Consider the following 21473-nt stretch of genomic DNA (forward strand, 5'->3'; position numbering starts at 1 on the left):
TTCACATTTCAGCATAGTTTTTCTCCACATCTTTCCAAGTCTTTAAAATTCTCATTTTGAGTTATACAATATACTGTCTTGTGGATATATCTTATTTAACCACCCCGGTAAGTTGAATAGCTATGCGATTTCAAATGTTAGCTACCCTATGTTTAACCACTCTAATTTTATTGTATAGCTCTGGACAAGTTAATCTACTTGTGAAAAAGATTTTATCTTTTTAATTCATATTGTCAAATTAATTTTTATACAGATAATACCAATGCACACACCCACCATAGCATTTAGAAACACTTGTCTTTCTATTGCTCTTGCCAGGATTGCATACAATTAATTTGAAATTTTAAAATAAAATATATTGAAAAAAATTGTCATCTCTTTGTCTTAATTTATGACTAGAAAGGTTAAACTCTTTTCCCAATTTTTAATAGCCATTTATATATTTTCTTTTATACATGGTCAGTTTAAGCCCTTTATCTAGTTTATGTGAAATCATGATATTTCTGAATTGTTTAATTATTTTATACATTCAGAATATCAAAATTTATTTATCTTGCTCCAAGTATTTTCAGATTATCTCTATGCCTTTCAATTATATTTTTAAACACAAAATCAAGTTTTTAATAAAATGTATTAGCCCGCTTATTTTGTGATTTATTCTGCTGTCTTTATGCGTGAAAAGTTCTCTAGATCCTAACATTAGCTCAACGTAAACCTCTGTTTCAAAACAGCTATATTCATAGCTCTACTATAGATCTCATTATAGTATTTGCATAATAATTATTCATTTACACCCCCGTTCTACTTATTCTGGACTCTGAGTATCTCAGTCACTGGGGCAGTATTTTTCATCCTCTTCTCTTTAGCCTTTAGTGTGGGAAACTATAAATGTTGGTTGAAAGACATACTAAATGAATGAATCAACTGTGTAATGCACAGATTTTTTTCAGTGAAAATCAAAGAAATGTACCACTTTACTTCTCTTATTCCTTTTTTTCTTGCCAAACTATTGTATGAATAGTATAGTTAGAAAAATGTATTCCACAGGAATAACGATATTTTATCATATACTTGTTTGTTTAAAGTACACAATTAATATACAATCATGCCTCAGAACAACATGTGGGGTGTCCATACAACCGTGGTGCAACTAATCCTTCAAAAGATAATTTTGAATTTTTAGCATTCTCTGAAGAAATATTTTGCATGTATCAATTCTCATCCAGGAGAAATCAATGGCAGGATTTCTCACAATAATCATAAGGAGAAAAATATTTCTCTTATGATTAGTGTGATTTTTCAGAGAAAAAATATCTGAGTCATTTTTGTGGGACTCTGCTTCTTTTTAAATCACATTGATCATGTCAAGAATGAATCTACCAAATAAGACAAACAAAGCCAAGCACACTGAGTAAAGTAGAGAACCAATACATGGGCTTTGTATTTTACTTCAAGGTCTTGTCTATATGGCATACAAAGACACACAGTGGAACAACCATCAGCTTTTCTATATAGGTGGACCTGATGTTAGGCAAGTAAAATTCACTTTATCTGCTGATATCACCACATGACGCTGTTTTGTTCTTGTGGTCGGATATTTTGTTGAGTTCATTATACTCTCCTATGATGTGCCCTCTGTTTCACTTTGTAAAAAAGTTATATCTCTATTTTTTTTTGTTATGTCATGGACTTTATTTTTGAGTAGTTTAGGTTTACAGAAAATTGAGTACAGAGAACAGAGAATTCCCGTATGTCCCCTCATCCCACCCCAAAGTCCCCTGTATTATTAACATCTTATATTGATGTGGTACATTGTTTCAGTTGTTGAGCCAATATTGATACATTAATAGTAATTAAAGTCCAGAGCTTGCATTGGGGTTCACTCTTGGTGCTACATACACTGTATAGGCTGTGATAAATGTATAACAATATGTATCCACCATTAAGGTATCTTACAAAATATTTTCACTGTCCTAAAAATCTGTGCTCTTCCTCTTCATCATCCCTGCTTTCCCTTCAACCCTTCATCTTTTTCCTGTCTCTGTGGTTTTGCCTTTTCCACAATGTCATAGAGTTGGAATCATATGATAACTGGCCTTCTAAGACTGGTTTCTTTCATTTGTACGATGCATTTAAAGTCCTTCCATGTCTTTTTGTGGCTTGATAGCTCATCCCATTCTATCATTGAAAAACATTCTGATATGGTTTGGCTGTGTCCCTGCCCAAATCTCATCTGAATTGTAGTTCCCGTAATCCCCATGTGTTGTGGGAGGGACCTGGTGGGAGGTAATTGAATCATGGGGGTGGTTACCCCCACGTTGTTCTCATGATAGTGAGTGAGTTCTCAGGAGATCTGACGGTTTTATAAGGGGCTTCTCCCGCTTTGTTCTGCCCTTCTCCGTGCTACCACCATGTGAACAAGGACATGTTTGCTTCCCCTTCTGCCATGATTGTAAGTTTCCTGAGACCTCCCCAACCATGCTGAACTGAGTCAATTAAACCTGTTTCTTTTATAAATTACCCAGTCTTGGGTATGTCTTTATTAGCAGCATGAGAATGAACTAATACACCTTCCATTGTATGAATATACCATAGTTATTTTTTGAAGGACATCTTGATTGTTTCCATGGTTTGGCAATTATGAATAAAGTTGCCATAAACATTTGTAGGTTTTTGTGTGAACAGAACTTTCCTATTCATTTGGGTAAATACGAAGGAGTGGGAATGCTATATTGTATAGTAACAATTCATTTAGTTTTATAGGAAACTCCCAAATTGTCTTTCAAAGTAGCTGTACCATTTTGCATTTCCACCAGCAGAGAATGAGAGTTCCTGATGTTCCACATCCTCACCAGCATTGGATGTTGCTAGTGTTTTGGATTTTAGTCATGCTAATAGGTGTGCAGTGGTATGCAATTGTTGTTTTAATTTAGCCCTAATGACGTGATGTTGAGCATCTTTTTGCCCTCTGTGTATGTTTTTTGGTGCAGTGTCTGTTCAGATCCTTTGTCCATTTTTAATTGGCTGTTTTATTACTATTGTTGAGTTTTAAGAGTTATTTGTATATTTTGAATACCAGTCCAAAATATCAGTTGTTTTGCTAATATTGTCCCAGTCTGTGGCTTGAATTCTCATAACATCTTTTATAGAGTAAAAGATTTTAATTTTAATGAAGTCTAATTCATTAGTCTTTATAATATGGATATATGATTTTTTTCTTTTTAGCCTGTAGAAGTAATCAATTATATCAATTGATTTTCAAATGTTGAACCAGTCTTGAATACCTGGAATAATTCCCACTTCACTGTGGTGTAAAATTCTTCTTGTACAACGCTGGACATGATATCCTAATATTTTGTTGAGGATTTTTGCATCTTTGTTCATGAGAGACATTGGTGTGTAGTTTTCCTTCCTTGCAATGACTTTGTTTGCTTTGGGTATTGGGGTAATGCTAGCCTCATAGAATGAGTTAGGAGGTAGCCACTCTGCTATTTTCTGGAAAAGATTGTAAAGAATTGATATAATTTGTCCCTCTTTGCTAGAATTCATCAGTGAACCCATCTGGGCTGGTGCTTCCTGTCTTAGAAGGTTATTAATTATTGATTCAATTTCTTCATTTAATTTACTGTTTTTTAAATTTTTGAGACAGGGTCTTGCTGTGTTGCCCAGACTGGTCTTGAACAACTGGGCTCAACTGATCCTCCTGTCTCGGCCTCCCAAAGTGCTGGGATTACAGGCATGAGCCATCACTCCTGGCCTAATTTCTTTAATTGAATAGGTTAATCTTTAATAATAGATGTTAAGATGTAGGCCTTCTCATTAATATATATAGGCCCATATATATTATCTATTTTCTTGGTAAGTTTTAGTACATTGTGTTTTTCTTTCTTTCTTTCCTGTTTTTTTTTTTTTTTTTTCTTTTGGTCCATTTCATCTAGGCCTTCAAATTTCTGGGCATAGAGTTGTTTAGAATATTTCATTATTATGCTTTTAGTGTCACAGAATCAGTAGATATAGACCCTTTTATATTTCTGATATTAGTAATTTGTGTCTTCTCCCTTTATTCCTTAGTTAACCTGGCTAGAGGATTATTGACTTTACTGGTTTTTTCCAAAAAAAGTTTTGATTTTATTGATTTTCTCTATATTCTCTTGCCATTCTCATTGATACCTGCTTTAATTTTTATCATTTCTTCTCTTCTACTTACTTTGGATTTAACTTGTTCTCCTATTCCTAGTTTCCAAATGTGGAAGTTTAGATTACTAATTTTAGATCTTTCTTTCTTCTAGTACATGTACTCAATGCTATAAATTTCTCTCTAAGCACTGCTTTCACTGGATCCTAAAAATTTTGATAAAGCATATTTTTATTTTAAGCTAGTTTGAAATATTTTTATATTTCTCTTGAGACTGCTTCTATGACCCATGTGTTATTTAGAAGTGTGTTGTTTAATCTACTAGTATTTTGAGATATTCTAGCTGTTCTGATTTCTAGTTTTATATCATTTTGGTCTGAGAACATACTTTGTGTGATTTCTATTCTAAATTTGTTAAGGTGTGTTTTTTGACACAGAGTGCAATCTCTTCTAGTGAGTGCTCCATGGAAGCTTGAGAAGAACGTGTATTCTGCTGCTGTTGTATTAAGTATTCTATAGATGTCAGTTAGATCCAGTTGATTGACGGTGAACTTCAGTTAAACCTTGTTCTTAGTTCCTTACTGATTTTCTGCCTGCTTGAACTGTAAATTACTGATAGAGGGGTATTACAGTCTCAAAATAAAATAGCGTATTTATCCATTTCTCCTTGTACTTCTTTCAGTGTTTGCCTCATACTTTGATGTTCTGTTGTTAAATGCATAGACATCAAATATTATTATGTCTTTATGAAGAATTGATCTTTTTATCATTATGTAATATTCCTCTTTATCTCTGATAATTTTCCTTGCTCTGATGTTGGCTTTGTCTGAAATTAATCTAGCTACTCCAGCTTTCTTTTGATCACTGTTAACATTTAACTTCATATTTTAATGGATTTGTACACACACAGGCACACACACGCTTGCTTCGCCAGGCTATTCTATACAAATTTATTTGAAGAAAAATAGATACGTAGGGACATTTATGGGACTACAGGCAAGATAGAAGAAAGACAAGAGACCTTCCAAATGAATAACAAATCCTCTTTCACTCTCTATGCCTTCCTCTAACAAACTGACCTTGTATCAGGGTTTAACTATTACCTTTAGCTTAATGAGTTTCAGAATCAATTCTATATCCCAAAACATCCCTCAAATTTTGGTCTCATGTCTACAACTATTGACAAGATCTCGCTCCATCTGAATGTCATGTCATCACACTCAGCATGCCCTAAAACAAACTCACTGTTCCAAATCTGCTACGAACCCTTAGCAAAATCCTTTGTAAATTTCATATGTCCACCATTTTCTCAACTACTCAGACTCAATATTTTGCATTAAGTTGTATGCTACAAAATGTTAGGTTTAGGATAGGGAATTGAAGACAGACTTTCTGCTCTTCAAGAGATCATGGTCTGACAGATGTTAAAACAAGTGATCTGGTCAGGGTCAACGAAAATGCTACAAAATGCTGATTATATATTGGTTTTAAAAAGCATAAATAAATCAACTATTCTCACTACTTTGTGATTAGGATTTGCTTAAATTGAAGTCAGGAAGAATTCAATGATTATTGTTTCTATATTGAACATTCTGATGAAGTACATTTCCATTTCTCTGCTTAAGCATTTTTATCCGTGACGTCTTTGTTGAATGCTTGGCATGCATTCAACCCTAAACTAATAGACTGGGGAAGCAAAGAAGGTGATCTAATTCTTATTGCTTCAGTGCTGGAAAGAACTCTAAAATTATGAATCTCATTTTCTATCCAGTGATTGCCTTTTCTCCATTCTGTTTCTGGCTCATGACTTCTAATCTACTTGAATTTATCATTTGCATCATTAGAAGTTGGCAATGACCTTTAGATAGCTTTGAGTATTAGGAAGCTTTTATATTGATATTTTATTTTCCAGTCATTTTCATAGTAGTCATACAGAACCCAATGTGTGGTAAACCAATAAACTTTATTCCAACTCTGTTTAATAACATTTCAAAATAGGAAGACACTTTCCATGGGAATTCTCATTCCTAGGGTCACTAATCTTATTAATAATTTCACAATTTTTTTTTGTTCTTGCTTTTTTTTAGTTTGCCTCCTTACCGTCCATCCATTCACCTCTTAACTCCAGCTCATCCACATTCTTTTTAAAGTATGGTGCAGAGGATTGGGCACAAAATGCTAAAATTGAGTTTCTTCAGCACTTTGACAAGTAGAAGTTTCACTGCAATTTAGCTAGATGTTAAAATCCTGTTAATACAAGCTACTAACGCATTATTCTTTGTGTGTGTATATGTGTGGGGCTTCATTAAATTATTGAAACATTAAATACACAAGTCAACCCAAATACTATATTATCTTTGTCATCCTACAATTTGGTGTATTTCTCCCACTATATTCTTCAGTAGTTAGTTTCTGGCAATTCTGTCTGGAGTCCTTAGTAAGTTAAGAGTCCTTTTTAGTGTTATGACCTTAATTTTTTTTTCTGGAGTAAATGTTGACATACTTAGGAGGCTAACTTTATTTTATAGAGATATTAAGTACTAGAATGATTATTCTGTGTCAATCCGACCTAAAAGTGACCTCATGGTTTTTTGAAAGGTAAAAAATCATATTATGTATATTTTCTACACTCTAGGTAAAATGCACATAATATATCATATTTTACATTAAATTGACTTTAAGTATATTTTAAAGATTCTGAACTGTTATTTCAAATTTCCCTTTCCTCACTACATTTCTGGCTAATGGCTTCCAATCCATTCTTGAGGTTGGAATAATAAATGCTCGTGTCAAATCGGATCAAATAAAAGTATTCAAAAGGCAAGGTAGCATATCACCTTTACTTGAATTAAAAGCTTTAGAAGGATCAGGTGTTACCTGGTTTTTTTTTATTGAAAGGTGTAATAGCAGAACTGTGAAAGGGAAAACAAAATGAAAAACATTCAACAAAAATGCTGTTAGGATAACTCCATTTCTGGCTTTTGAAAATAAAGATACTTTATATATTTATGAAGGCAAATCGATTCAGGAAAATATAATGACATAACTTAAAAGTCTTTCAGTTAGATCGTGTCACAGATCTGTGATATTTAAGCTTTTTATTCTAATGGGAATATCAATCTCAAGACTTTTAAAATTGATAGTGATTGCTTCATAGTTTTTCAATTAACCTTCTGAAAAACCATAACAAAAATAAGACCCTACTTTCTTATCTCTTTTTTTTTACGAATAATTTCTGTAAACTAAATATGTGTGTGTGTGTGTGTGTGTGTGTGTGTGTTTGTGTGTGTATTTTAGAGACAGGGTTTCACTCTGCTACCTAGGCTGGAGTGCAGTGGCATGATATAGCTCACTGCAACCTCGAACTCCTGGCCGCAAGGAATCCTCTTAGCCTCAGCCTCCTGAGTAGCTAGGATTATAGGCATGCACCATCATACCTGGCTAATGTTTTGTAGAGATGGAATCTCACTATGTCGCCCAGGCTTAAATATAGTTTATATATTTTAAAAATTTTAGGCCGGGCACGGTGGCTCATGCCTATAATCCCAGCACTTTGGGAGGCTGAGGCGGGAGGATCACTTGAGGCCTGGAGTTTGAGACCAGCCTGGCCAACATGGTGAAACCCCGTCTCTACTAAAAATACAAAAAATTAGCTGGGCGTGGTGGCATGCGCCTGTAATTCCAGCCATTCAGGAGGCTGAGGCAGGAGAATTGCTTGAACCGGGGAGGTGGAGGTTGCAGTGAGGTAAGATCGCACCACTGCACTCCAGCCTGGGCGACAACGTGAGATTCTGTTTTAAAAAACATAAATAAATAAAAATAAAAATGTAGATCCTTTTTGAAATAATAACGTATGTAGGTTGTTACACAATATTATCATATCTAAATATTGAAGATAGGACTTATCAGGCAGCCCTGTTGGCAATAGCCCTCTAGGGTGTATATTGTATAAACATCCCTGGCAGGGGTATTCTACACATGTTAGTTGGATTCCCCTAGGTCAGGGGTGTGTGGTCTATAATATATGAAAAATGCCCTGAACTCTGGACTTTTAAAAACAGCAAAAGGATATGTGAAAACCGTTTTAAAATACCATTTTAAAATACAACAAGACACCTATAAATACAGCTATTTTTTCAAAAGCAAAAGGACATATGAAAACCATGAGTAAAATATAATAAGACACCTATAAATACAGCTATATCCTCTGCGGACTATTGCATTCTATTTATTCTTTCTTTTTGCAGGATAGATACATAAAGTCAGGATCTCATTCTTGCTGGAGCTACTTACCTGCCTGGACCCACACCACCCCCTAGTTCCAGGCCTGGCTCTCCCACCGCTAGCTCTGAACCTGAGTACGTCCTATAAACAACATGAGCATCTGTATCTCCCTTCAGAAAACAAATGGTGCAGTCATACTCATCCTGCTGTGTTAATGACTATGTTCATAAAATGCGACACTGGACTACGAGTTTTAGGAATCAAGGAGTGTGTTTTAGTCCACTCTTTATGACTGGCCTTAGTATAATATCTGGCACATACTGATATAGAATAAAAGGTATCATTACATGATACCTTTCTATATTATATCCACATGTATCCCATGATCCATGTTCCATATTATGGAAGGGTGGCAACGCCCTGTTTCACGAGTTTCAGATTCAACTTTTGAAGGAAACATGTTTTAGTCATTGCATTGGCAGATGGCTCCAGGACTTACATATTTAAATAACAAAAATGTTGGGGATAAAAGTATTCCCCAAACAGTTCAAAAAGTTTCATAGGTGGGTAAAGGAACCATCCCTTTGAAGAGGAAAGTCAACAGTCTGACTTATTTCAGGTAAACAGGTTGATAAAGACAAAGAAAGGCTGCTTTGTTCTAAGTCTTGCGTTCCTGCACCTAGAGGACAGATCCCACATTCCAGAATAAAGGCTTAAATAAAAATGCAAGCATACAGGAAATAAAAGAGTTCAAAAATAAAGGGTACTAAGAGAGAGGGGTCATAGATTAGCATTAACACCATGGTGACCACATCAGCCTTAAGTCAAGGTCAGACTATTTCATGCAAGTTATCCCTAAATGGAAGAGTGGAATGATAAGGCTGGAGGAAAAAAGAGATGGCTATGGGAGTGGTCTTCAGAGTTATTCTGGTTGGGACCTCAGAACTGAAGACAAAGGTTGTGATGCTCCTTGATTGTCCTCTGTGAGATTCATAGATGTCATTAAAACCATGAAGTACAGGAGCTGCATTTGCATTATCTGTTTCCATATTCCATTTTTTTTTTGCTTTTTCCTTTTTTTTTGCTACTCTCTGTTTCTTTTCACGAAGAAAGCTGAAAATTTATTGTCTTTCACCTGTCAAGTGAGATGCTAAAGTGATCTGCTAGCTGCTTTTACCCATATAATCTCATTTAATGTTCAACTAACACTGCAAGGTAGGTAGATATATTTCCATTTTATAAGTAAGACTGCTGAATCTTAGAAAGGGCAAATCACTGTGCAAGGTGGGCCTCGTAAATAATGGACTCATGTCTATCTGATTCCAAAGCCCACCTGCTTCCCACTCTGCCCCAGGTCTCCCTATTCCCTTTTTTACTGGTTGTTGGCTGACATAATAAAAACTGGAAGTGTACACAATAGGACAGTCTCTTAGATATGGACATCTTCTGGTGAGGGGCGGTATGCAATATCAGGCCCCAGGCCATACCAGATTAAGCCTCTGGACAGTTTGAGATACTCTCTGGTATTTTCCTACACGTGGTCTGGGATTCTACGTTGCTCAGGAGGCAATAATTTGGTGTTAACATGGAAGACCTAGCTTCCTAGCTTCACAGATCCTGTCTAGAAGACACTTAAATTTTACAGTGAATACTACAAGGTACAAAGAGTCTTTCATTACAGCCACAGTCAGGACAGACTATGAAGAAGAAACTGAGCTATAGAAATACCTATTCACTTTAACTCTGGGATATAGGATTTAGGGTCTAAATATATTAGGATTGATTATGACAACTGCAGAATTCATTTCTAGGGACAAATGTAAAAGTGTAGACATTCTTAGAAATTATCACAATATTGCTGTTTTCCCCTATGCCACTTTTTCTTGAGGGGGCCTAGTTACCTTAGAAAGTTCTTGTCATTGCTTAGCTAACACTACAGCCAGCAAATAGAGATAGAGCTTATGTGTTTGGCTGAGAAAATAACATAGGAGCTCTCTTAGGAGAACCTTTCTGTTAATGTCCCTGTCATCATCATCTTTGTCTATTAACTCACAGTAAGGACCCAAAAGACTAAAAACAAGATAAACACCAGTACCTGTATGGCAGACACAGCCTTTGGACAAGTGTCAGCATTTCGCAAGTGCCTGAGATCACTTCAAAATGTTTAAATTTTTAAAATGCCAAGAGGGATTACCTCTAAAGTAATACAGGAAGTTATAATGTTAAGAAAAAGAAATGGTTGAAGGTAGGATTGGTTTTAGGCGAACGCCATTCTCAGAGGCTCATGACAACCCGAAGCTCTATTTTCCTCTAGAAAATAAGGGATGATGGCCGGGCGCGGTTGCTCACGCCTGTAATCCCAGCACTTTGGGAGGCTGAGGCGCGTGGATCACGAGGTCAGGAGATCGAGATCATCCTTGCTAACACGGTGAAACCCCGTCTCTACTAAAAATACAAAAAATTAGCCAGGCATGGCGGTGGGCACCTGTAGTCCCAGCTACTCAGGAGGCTGAGGCAGGAGAATGGCCTGAACCCGGGAGGCGGAGCTTGCAGTGAGCTGAGATTGAGCCACTGCACTCCAGCCTGGGCAACAGAGCGAGACTCCGTCTCAAAAAAAAAAAAAAAAAGTTCAACAAGGGAGATGGAGCCAGTGGCTTCTGGGTGGTTTCTGCCTCCAGATCCTCCTTGGGATGACTTTCTAGTTGGAAGCCTAGTGAAGGATGTGGTGGAGGCCTCTTGGATAACACTCATATGTGCTCCTTGCTGGTGGGAGACACGAAAGACTAGCGCCCGACTTGCACTGGATAGAGGGAAAGACAACTTTGATCAGATTCTGCCTCCAACAGAGGCACACAAAGGGCTAAGGCAATGGAGCAGGGGAGTGTTTGAGGTGGGATCATGTGTCATCTCTGTGAGCATGAGAGTCTCAGAGCATGAAATAGACGTGGGCAGTGCAGGGGAGCTGGCATGGTGTGAGTCCTTTTGGGTTGCCAGGAGGATCCAGGTCATGGAAGCTAAACGAGGCTAGAGATGAGCCACCAGATGTCCAGGGGACAAAGTGGATAAGCACAGGAACATAACACATTGACTGGTTTCTAGAGGTTGCTTAAAACAAACAAAAAAAATAAAAATCCTACTTAATGTCCTTGCAATAGCTATGCACCTGACCTCATAATCCTTTTTCTTCATGAACAATAAAACTCACACTGAATTTTCAGTAGCAAAGCCAGTTAATTCTCAGTTGATTCTCTTTGAATCTTTCCAGAATTCAAAAGAGAGAACAAATTCAATATAGCATTTAACAATTACATTGCTATCTGAAGCTGAAATATGTACATATATAAACAAACCTTTGGAGACTTTCTATTTTGGTCTGACTCTGAAGGTAGTTGGGAGAAAATTGTAAGGTATTCTTATCAATCTTGATTTGTCTTTCATGCTATGAACCTATTATTTATTCTAATAATACTTATATAAATATTATTCTCTACTGCCTTGTCTGTATTTAAATAAATCTACAGAAGAAAATGATACAGCATCAAAATAGAAGGAAATATACGAGGTTGTCTTATAGTTGCTGGTAACCACTGTTTAATTTCATCCATAAAGTTTTCTGGTATTAATTAAGGATATTCATTAATATTACTCTGAGGCACGTAGTTTAACATTAATAAGGAAGAAAGCCAGCTAAGTTATTAGAGATCCAATGTTATGTCATTAAAAGTGTGAGCTGATTTGAATTTGAGCCACAGGAAATGAAAGTCTGTGAAAGTCAACAACCAAAGCAGGCTACTAATAGGTTTTAAGAAAGAAAATCAGGCTGGGCACGGTGGCTCATGCCTGCAATCCCAGAACTTTGGGAGGCTGAGGCAGACAGACTGCTTGAGCTCCGGAGTTCAAGACCAGCCTGGGCACCATGGCAAAACTCCATCTCTATCAAAAATACAAAAAATTAGCCAGGCTTGGTGGCACATGCCTGTTGTCCCAGATACTTGGGAGGCTGAGGTGGGAGGACGGCTTGAACTGGGAGGCAGAGGTTACAGTGAGCCAAGATCATGCCACTGTACTCCAGCCTGGGCCACAGAGCCAGATCCCATAAAAAAAGAGAGAGAGAGAAAGAAAGAAAAGAAAAGAAGAGAAAAGAAAGAAAGAAAGAAAGAAAAGAAGAGAAAAGAAAGAAAGAAAAAGAAAGAAAAGAAAAAGAAAGAAAAGAAAAGGAAAGAAAGAAAGAAAGAAAGAAAGAAAGAAAGAAAGAAAGGACGGAGGGAGGGAAGGACGAAGGAAGGAAGGAAGGAACGAAGGAACGAAGGGAGGGAAGGAAAATCAGGGCAGGAATAACACTTGTACTATGAAGCCAGAAAAATGTAAACAATAAAACATGAAAAACTGTTTTGTTGCAGTAGTTTTTCTTTCAAATGTATACAGAAGCATCAGATACCTTCAAATAGCAAGAGAGTAAGCAAGCGATATCATGGTGGGAAAATGCATGGTTTTATAAATTAAATACGATGCTATTGAGGTCTAGTCATCCTACACAAAAGTGGTGATCTTTTCTTAATGAATTCACCAAGATACCATGGAGCGTGCATGGGGTCACTACAGTCTTTCACTTACTTTGGCAGGGCACCCCTCACTTCCCACAGACGGAGAAGATGGATTCAAGACGAGAGTGCGACGCTTGCTTACCACGGGCCTGTGCACGTCCCAGAACGCTCTCTCTTGGCTGTCAAGGATCTTCCTTTCAATCTTGTCTCTCTTCTTGTCCACTCTGTCAACACAGTAACAATAGATAACATTTAGTATTAATTGTAGTGCCTCTCTGAACAAAAAGGCCACAACTGGAACAAATCTTCCAAACGACTCACAAGGACTCACTTTGCTTGTGCTTCTGCTTGCATGAAAATGAACTCCCACTTCCGGGCAAATGCTCTCTGCAGCCTGGCCAGGCTCTCCTGAAAAACATACCCCAGGTGAAGACATTTGGTGTTCATTGTCACTGCTCTCTTCTAGCTTAGTTACCACTTGTATTTGTCAAGGAAACAAATAGAGAGTTTCTAAAGCCCTAAGTGTACTGTGGTTCTCAATGATAAGTCATGCTCCCTGAATTCAGCTCATCTTCATATTGGCAGTCTTAAAGGAAGCAGAAAAACCTGTTACAAATATCGATTTTTTGAATTACTGACTTTGGAGAACAGGACTACAAACCCAATATGTATCTGAAAAATACTAAAATTACCTAGTACATAAGGAGGTGCTCAGATGAACCCACTGGATTTTTCGGTACCCACTTTATAGAGGAACAGAACATCAGTACATTCCTACTACGCATGCAATCAGCCTATTCAGTTCCTGACAATACATGGCACACCCTGGCGGCCCACAACCTATTCCTACACAGTGCTTTGAATTCAGAAAATCTAACATAGCAACCATCTGCACAAATGACAGCAGATGACTTTTATCTGCTGAAGATCACTGTCAGCAGAGACAATTTTGGCAAAACCCACTCTTTCCCAGGGTAAATGGTCTTTAATCCTCAGAGTTTGGATATCTTCACTATGTAGGATGTATCTGACATTTCGACAGTTAAGTCGATTTTAGAAAATAAGATATGCTTCCCTTTTATACTTTGAGTTTATGTATTTAGAGTTTTGCCATATGCAATGTGAATGAAGAGAGGAAGTAAGCAAACAGGGATTCATGCACCCACTGTGATGCCAGATCCCTAGAAATCTGACCCTTCAGATCCATGAATGAGGCTGGGCGTGGTGGCTCGTGCCTGTAATCCCAACACTTTAGGAGGCTGAGGCGGGTAGATCACCTGAGGTCAGGAGTTCAAGACCAGCCTGGCCAACATGACGAAACCCAGTCTCTACTAAAAATACAAAAATTATCTGGGCGTGGTGGTGCACGCCTATAATCCCAGCTACTCCAGAGGCTGAAGCAGGAGAATCACTTGAACCTGGGAGGCAGAGGTTGCAGTGAGCCAAGATCGTGCCACTGCACTCTAGCCTGGGTGACAAGAGTGAAACTCCATCTCAAAAAAAAGAAAAAGATCCATGAATGAAGAGTTAACATCCTGCCCAGAAAAGGCTGTGGGCCTTACTGCTGTGCATTCTATGACTATCTTTGCCAGAAGGTCCTTGGTACTTACAGCCTCATAGTCTGCGAGCTCCAGTCGTGCCTTGTTTTGCATTGTTCTCTTGCAGAGGTAAACGGCTGAAAAAAAAATCAATCATTTCTTGCCTGCTTATCAACACCATGGCACTATAAGTAAAAGTACAACATTACAAATCAAGGGCATTGCACTTTTTTCCCAAGTTGTAATTTTTGATCATTTTCTTAGACAAAAAATAATTATGTAATAACATTATTACTGAAATTCAAGCATCATAGTATTTATGATACCCTAATAAAATAAATATGCTAAGAAACTTGGTAACTTTTTTTTTTCAGAGATGGTCTTACTCTGTCACCCTGGCTGAAGCAAGTGTAGTGGTAAGATCCTTGTTCACTGCAGCCACACACTCCTAGGCTCAATTGATCCTTTCGCCTCAGCCTCCCGAGTAGCTGGGACTATAGGCGTGAGCCACCAAGCCTAGCTAATTTTATCGTTATTATTATTATTTGTAGAGCAGCTTCTCGCTTTGTTGCCCAGGCTGGTCTTGAACTCCTGGGCTCAAGTGATCCTTCCACCTCGGCCTCTCAAAGTGCTGAGATTATAGGCATGAGACATAATCATTTAAAAATTTTTATTAAATGGTCATCACAGTTTTTAGCATCTTCAACAAATAAGAGGAGAAAACAAAACCTCCTAAAAGGGTCACCAAATGAACTTAAAAATCTATATATCCAAATAAAATCATTTTGTGAAAAGGAAATTATGAATTAGTGGCACATTCAACGATGTCCAGATTCTACTGTCAACTGAAACAATCTGTTCATGTACACTGAAGACTTCTTGCATCTTCTTGGCTTCATTTCACAAGAGCCAATCTTCCATCGTTTTGTCACTAGGAGAAGGGTATCACATCTTACCTACCTTCCACAGTATTTCCATTTTCCTGAGGAGTCGATGGCCTGGGCTACCATGGAAAGTCCATCTGGGCAGCAGATTTATAGGAGAAGGTGGTGACAGCAGTGTTGCAATTGAGCAAATTTCTTCAATTATTTCAGGGTATTCCAGTGACTCTCATGACAAACTCAAGGCATTCACAGCCCTCTGGTAGAGTCCCAATTGCCAGAACATTTTTGTCATTGTTTTTCACTAAATATGCATGATATTTGAGTCTCATGAAACTCAAGATACATTGTATCTGTTCTAGATGCTGAGTAAATGCATTGGATGAGGACTGTCAAATATTACTTATTGTAAGTCTACCTCTGTGAGTTTGCCTTGGAAATATCACCTTTGCACTACACTTACCACCCCAAGTTTTGGATAACGACGTCCAGCTGGTATCACTAAGGAAACACACTACACAGAAAATTTAAGACCGGTGCAAACAGGAATACTATTTACTCAATTTCTGTAAGGTTTCCTGTATGAAAGTCAAGACGAAGGAGAGAGCCAACCACAGAATGATGCTGACATTCCTACAAATGCTAAGAACCCAGTATATAGTATTAGAACACATCTTTGTACAATCTACCATAATAATTTTATTGTTCTACTAATATTAGTAATTTTTAAAAGTCAGACTTCATAAACAAAAGTGACATGATGTGTTCATTTCCTAATTCATCATAACTGATGCTCACTCCCGAAGGATCTCTTACTATAGACGCCACTGTGACTTGAATAAAATATCTAAAATGTTCTAAGCAGTTGTAAAAGAAATTGAAGCGTAAGTGAAATACCCCTGAGGGTGTCTCTTCATGAGAGAAAGATCAAATTTTCTTAAATATCTAATTGAATAATTTCAGCTTTCCTGTGGAATTACCTCTGATGAAATTTCAAGCCCCAGCTATGCCCTCCATCAGTCACACCTCCTGTGTCCTCCTGCATCAGCTTCTCCTTGCTTTATTGGTTTTGCCCATCTAATCTTTATTATTTGCAAAATCAGCTCCCTTTGGGGAAATGTTTCTCACCATTAGGTACCCTAATGCCTTAAAGCAAGAGTGGGATGATTTTATTTTTTACATGACTGCTCACAAAGACATTATGTATCTTGTAATACAGGTGTCCTATGATGTGATTTTTCTTTAATTCTCTAGGGAAAAAAATGAAGGTGCGGGCAGACAGTGCCAGGCATAAAATATTGGTATCACAAATATTTGTTGAATGAGTGAATTAACAAATGAATGAATAGGATATCTTCAGAAGGAGCTATTTCGAGGTCAAATCAACTTAAGTGATAAAATCTCCCTAAATGTCTACTTGATTCTTTGGTATAAAGAAAGACAGGAAGCAGGGCATGGTGGCTTATTTCTGTGGTCTTAGCTACACTTGGGAGGCTGAGGAAGGAGGATCATTTGAGACTAGTAGTTTGAGGCTGCAGTGAGCTATGATTGCACCACTGCACTCCAGACTGGGCAACAGAGCAAGACTCTGTCTCTTAAAAAAATAAAATAAAATAAGAAAGAAAGAGGCAAAAGGTACAAGTCTGAGTTAGCAGTGTACAGAATAATCTGGTAACTGTTGAAGATACAGCAAATATGCTCTTGACCGGATAGGCCCAGACCTCATCAGTCTAGTCCAGACACAGTTGCTGTATGATGACAGGTACAGATAATACTTTTTATTCTTTATTAGCAGAGAGTATCAGCATTGGTCAAGATGTGGATGAGGCAGAAGGTCCAAGTAGATCAAAGATGATTCCAATTCAGGAAATTTCCCAATTCATTGAAGACTGACAAAATGAATGCACTCATGCATAGTCAAAACTACAGCTCAGGCTGGGCACATTGGCTCATGCCTGTAATCCCAGCAGGTTGGGAGGCCGAGATGGGTGGATCACAAGGTCAGGAGTTCAAGACCAGTGTGGCCAAGATGCTGAAACCTCGTCTCTACTAAAAATACAAAAAAATTAGCCAAGCATGGTGGCAGGCGCCTGTAGTCCCAGCTACTGGGGAAGCTGAGTCAGGAGAATCACATGAACCCAGGAGACAGAGGTTGCAGTGAGCCAAGATCATGCCACTGCACTCCAGCCTGGGTGACAGAGCAAGACTCCGTCTAAAAAAAAACAAAAACAAAAACAAACAAACAAAAAACTTCAGCTAAGGCAAGGTGCTTTTGTGCCAATCCTAATTATTTTGGCACTGAACATGCTCTATATGGTGCTAGGTATAGACCTAGGCCCAGACCCAAAAGAGTGAATCTTTTATAACATAACCCCGAATATTTCCTGCTGTGATGAAATATTGAAAATATCAACTAATGATGCCATTTTTGGGGTTCTATTTAAAATATTTTCTATTATTAAAGATGTAATTTCAATACCAAGTTTAAATATATCTCCCTGCAGTAGTTTTCTGGGAGATCATCAGGAGACAATTTGGAAGACTTGGGAGGTCAAACAAGTAATTTAACAGGAGGCTATGCCACTAAGTGGGAGAAAGTTTGGGCAGGCCTGAAGTGCTACTCTGGCTAAGAAAGCTCCATAGATAAGGCATAGATTTTGGCCCAAATGCAACTTAGAACTTAGATGGAAAAGTCAAAGTTTCTGGATCCCATCTTTGAGTAGAAACAGAATAGAAAGTGAGTGCTGACGTCAGGTCTTCCCCTTTAATTTATAAAGCTCTAGAGAAGCTGGAGTGGTCTCTCAGACAACACTGATGCCCATGACAAAGGTATGAAAGCACATCACACAGGTCAGCGAGAAAATCACTAAGACCCCAGTATCAAAATGTGGAAAGAGTAGGAATATATCATTCACCAAGACTAGAACTACAAAAGTCCAATAAATATTTTAAAATTACCCAGCTTACAACCCAGGTAATGCAAATTAACTTACATTGTCATGCTATTCTTTTTTTTTTCTCTTTTAATGTTTAGTTTGTGGCTAATTCTTCTCTTGTTCCTGAATTTTAAACAGTCAGGCAGTTTGTACAATCTTCCTTCTCATGCTTGAGTAATTCAAAGAGTCCCAAGTTATTTGAGAGATGATTGGGTCATGAGGATGGAACCTTCCTTAATGAGATTAGTGCTTTTATTAATAGACTCGAAGGAGGTGGTTCACCCTTCTACCATGTGGGGACACAGCAAGACAGTGCCGACTATGAACCAGAAAGTGGGCCCTCCCCAGACATCAAATCAGTTGGCACTTTAATCCTGGACTTCTCAACCTCCAGCATTGTGAGAAATAAACGTTTGCTGTTTATAAACAAAACAAAACAAAAGGGTACCAAGTTATTAATGAGAATGTTCATCTCAAGTAATGATCAAATAATCATGCAAATTGTGGGTGAGAAGAAGTGTGAGTGGCTTCTTTCTCCCCTCCCCAACTCCCTTTTGTGACTCTCACCAAGAACCATGAACTGAGGCCTCTGATCCTCCTGGGGCTGGAGTGTAGGAGAGGAAAGGGGAAGACTGACATTTTTATTACATTTTTCATTGGAATAGAACTTTATTATATTTGATGGAGATTTTGAATTTTATTGCTGAGATAAAAAATTAAATCTGGTATGTAACAAAAATAAATATGTGCTTCACAGGAGCTTTCCTTTATTATTTTAACATTAAAAATTTTTAAAATATTTTAGTTGATAAATGAGAAATTGCATATATTTATATTGTGCTACGTGATGTTTTAATATAGGTTATACGCTTTGCTATGACTAAATCAAGCTAATTAACATTTCCGTCACTTCACATTCTTACCACTTTTTGTGATGAGAACTTTGAAAATCTACTCTCGGCCGGGTGCAGTGGATCATGCCTGTAATCTCAGCAGTTTGGGAGGCTGAGGTGGGCAGATCACTTGAGCTCAGGAGCTCGAGACCAACCTGGCCAATATGGTGAAACCCTATCTCTACTAAAAATACCAAAATTTAGCTGCGTGTTGTGGCGGGTGCCTGTAATCTCAGCTACTCGGGAGGCTGAGGCAGGAGAATTGCTTGAACCCGGGAGGCGGGGGTTGCAGTGAGCTGAGATCCCACCATTGCACTCCAGCCTGGGTGACAAGAGCGAAACTCCATCTCAAAACAAAAAACAAAAAACAAAAAACAAAAAACTACTCTCTTGGCAATTTTCAAGTATTAATGGTAACTATCATCATCCCGCTATACAACAGTCTTCCAGAACTTAGTCCTCTAACTGAAACTTTGCGCTCTTTAACCAATATCTGCCCCCACTGCCCCCAGGCCCTGGTAATCACCATTCTACTTTTTGCTTCTATGAGATAAACTTTTTTCAGATTCCACACGAGTGACATCACGCAGTATTTGTGTTTCAGTGCCTGACTTATTTCACTTAACATAATGTCCTCCAGGCGCATCATGTTGCTGCAAATACAAGATTTTTTGTATTTTTAAAGGCTGAATAGTATTTCATTGTGTATCTATCCCACATTTTCTTTACCCATTCGCCTGTTGCTGGACACTTAGGTTGATTCTGTATCTTGGCTATTGTGAATAATGTTGTAATGAACGTGGAAGTTCAGGTATCACTTCCAAATACTGATTTTATTTTCTTTGGGTAGATCCCCAGAATTGGAATTGCTGGATCCTATGGTAGTTCTAGGTTCATTATTTGAGGAACTTCTGTACAGTTTTCCATAATGGCCGTACTAATTTACATTCCCACCAGCAACAGTGTATCAGGGTTCTCTTTTCTCCACATTCTCCCCAACGCTTGTTACCTTTCATCTTTTCAATCAAAGCCATTCTTACAAGTGTGAGGCAATATCTCACTGTGGTTCTGATTTGCATTTCCCTGATGATTAGTGACGGGGACCACCTTTTCACATACCTGTTGGCCATTTGTAGGTCTTCTTTTGAAAAATGTCTATTTAGGTTTCTTGCTCATTATTTAATTGGCTTATTCGTCTTCCTGCTTCATTGATACCACCAGGGTGATCTAGCTTGCCACTCTCTAGACTTGGCAAAAGTTTAAAGCTCCTTATGATTTTTACGGTACCTTTAGCCTCTCTCTATGATGCTGTTTGCCCCTCCAGTCTGCCATGTAGGACAGGACTGTCTCACACAGGGTTTAGATGATGCCTAAGAGAAACATTCACACATTTTATTTTTTGCCTTAATAGAAGGCTGCAGAACAGAGCCACCTCCCTTTCAACTCTTCCACCCATAGCTAGACAGCCTGCCTCTTGCCCTTCAGAATCCCATGGCCTACAAGTCTGTGGCCTATTGTGTTCCCAGGGGTGCGTGACTCTCATCTAGCACTCTCAGCAGCCCCTTGAAGTCTCTTATCAGGAGTGAGATAAGGCGCGGTCACCCCTGGCTCCATCCACTCAGGGCTGGTGGAAGCAATGGCTCCCAACATCCTATGGATTCCAGACTCGGTCTTCAAGACAATGCCTTGCCCTTAGACCCTTGATGTGAGCAGAAAGCAATTACTGGGATCATGCATATGTTAGTGGAACACAGCCCCTTTACACCTGATCTTGACCCACTTAACACTTTGGCTGGGTTTCCATGTTAACATCCTGTTACAGAAACCATTTTCCACTCAGCAAAACAGCAGAGAGTTTAAAGGGGAATAATCCATTCTGGCAAAAGAAGAGTGAAAGAGAGCTGCTGGTGGGCAAATAAACAGGGGAAAGTCTCCTTGGAAAGGACGTGAGAGTGAGTAATAAAGCCTTAAAACATTCATGGCCATAGGCTGGGTGTAGTGGCTCACACCTGTAATCCTAGCATTTTGGGAGCTGAGGCAGGCAGATTGCTTGAGCTCAGGAGTTTAAGACCAGCCTGGATAACATGGTGAAACCCAATCTCTACTAAAATACAAAAAATTAGCTGGGCTTGGTGGTGCACACCTGTAATCCCAGCTCCTTGGGAGGCTGAAGCAGGAGAATTGCTTAAACCCAGGAGGCAGAGGTTGCAGTGAGCCGAGATCAGGCCACTGCACTCCAGCCTGGGCAACAGTTGAATGAGACTTTGTTTCCAAAAAACCCCCAAAAAATTCATGGCCATAATTCTAGGACTTGCTTTTCTA

General features: G+C 38.3%; 1 protein-coding gene across 22 annotated transcripts in view; it reads right to left on the bottom strand.

Annotated features, from left to right (window-relative positions):
- Window positions 1–21473, bottom strand: part of RGS7 (regulator of G protein signaling 7) — a 582489-nt gene that overhangs the window by 80800 nt on the left and 480216 nt on the right. For 19 of the 22 annotated variants that reach the window (NM_001374806.1, NM_001374811.1, NM_001374814.1 and 16 more), the window contains 3 exons: window positions 14514–14578; window positions 13235–13311; window positions 13046–13127 (listed from right to left, as the gene is read on the bottom strand). The exons of 1 other annotated variant lie outside the window; for it this stretch is intronic. In NM_001374806.1, coding sequence (NP_001361735.1) covers window positions 13046–13127; window positions 13235–13311; window positions 14514–14578 — 224 coding nt within the window. Of the gene's footprint in view, window positions 1–13045; window positions 13128–13224; window positions 13312–14513; window positions 14579–21473 lie in introns of all 22 variants that reach the window. 2 more of the 22 variants (NM_001374809.1, NM_001374810.1) reach the window with 1 other exon arrangement.

This window comes from Homo sapiens, chromosome 1 (assembly GCF_000001405.40).
Source record: "Homo sapiens chromosome 1, GRCh38.p14 Primary Assembly".
NCBI lineage: Eukaryota > Metazoa > Chordata > Mammalia > Primates > Hominidae > Homo > Homo sapiens.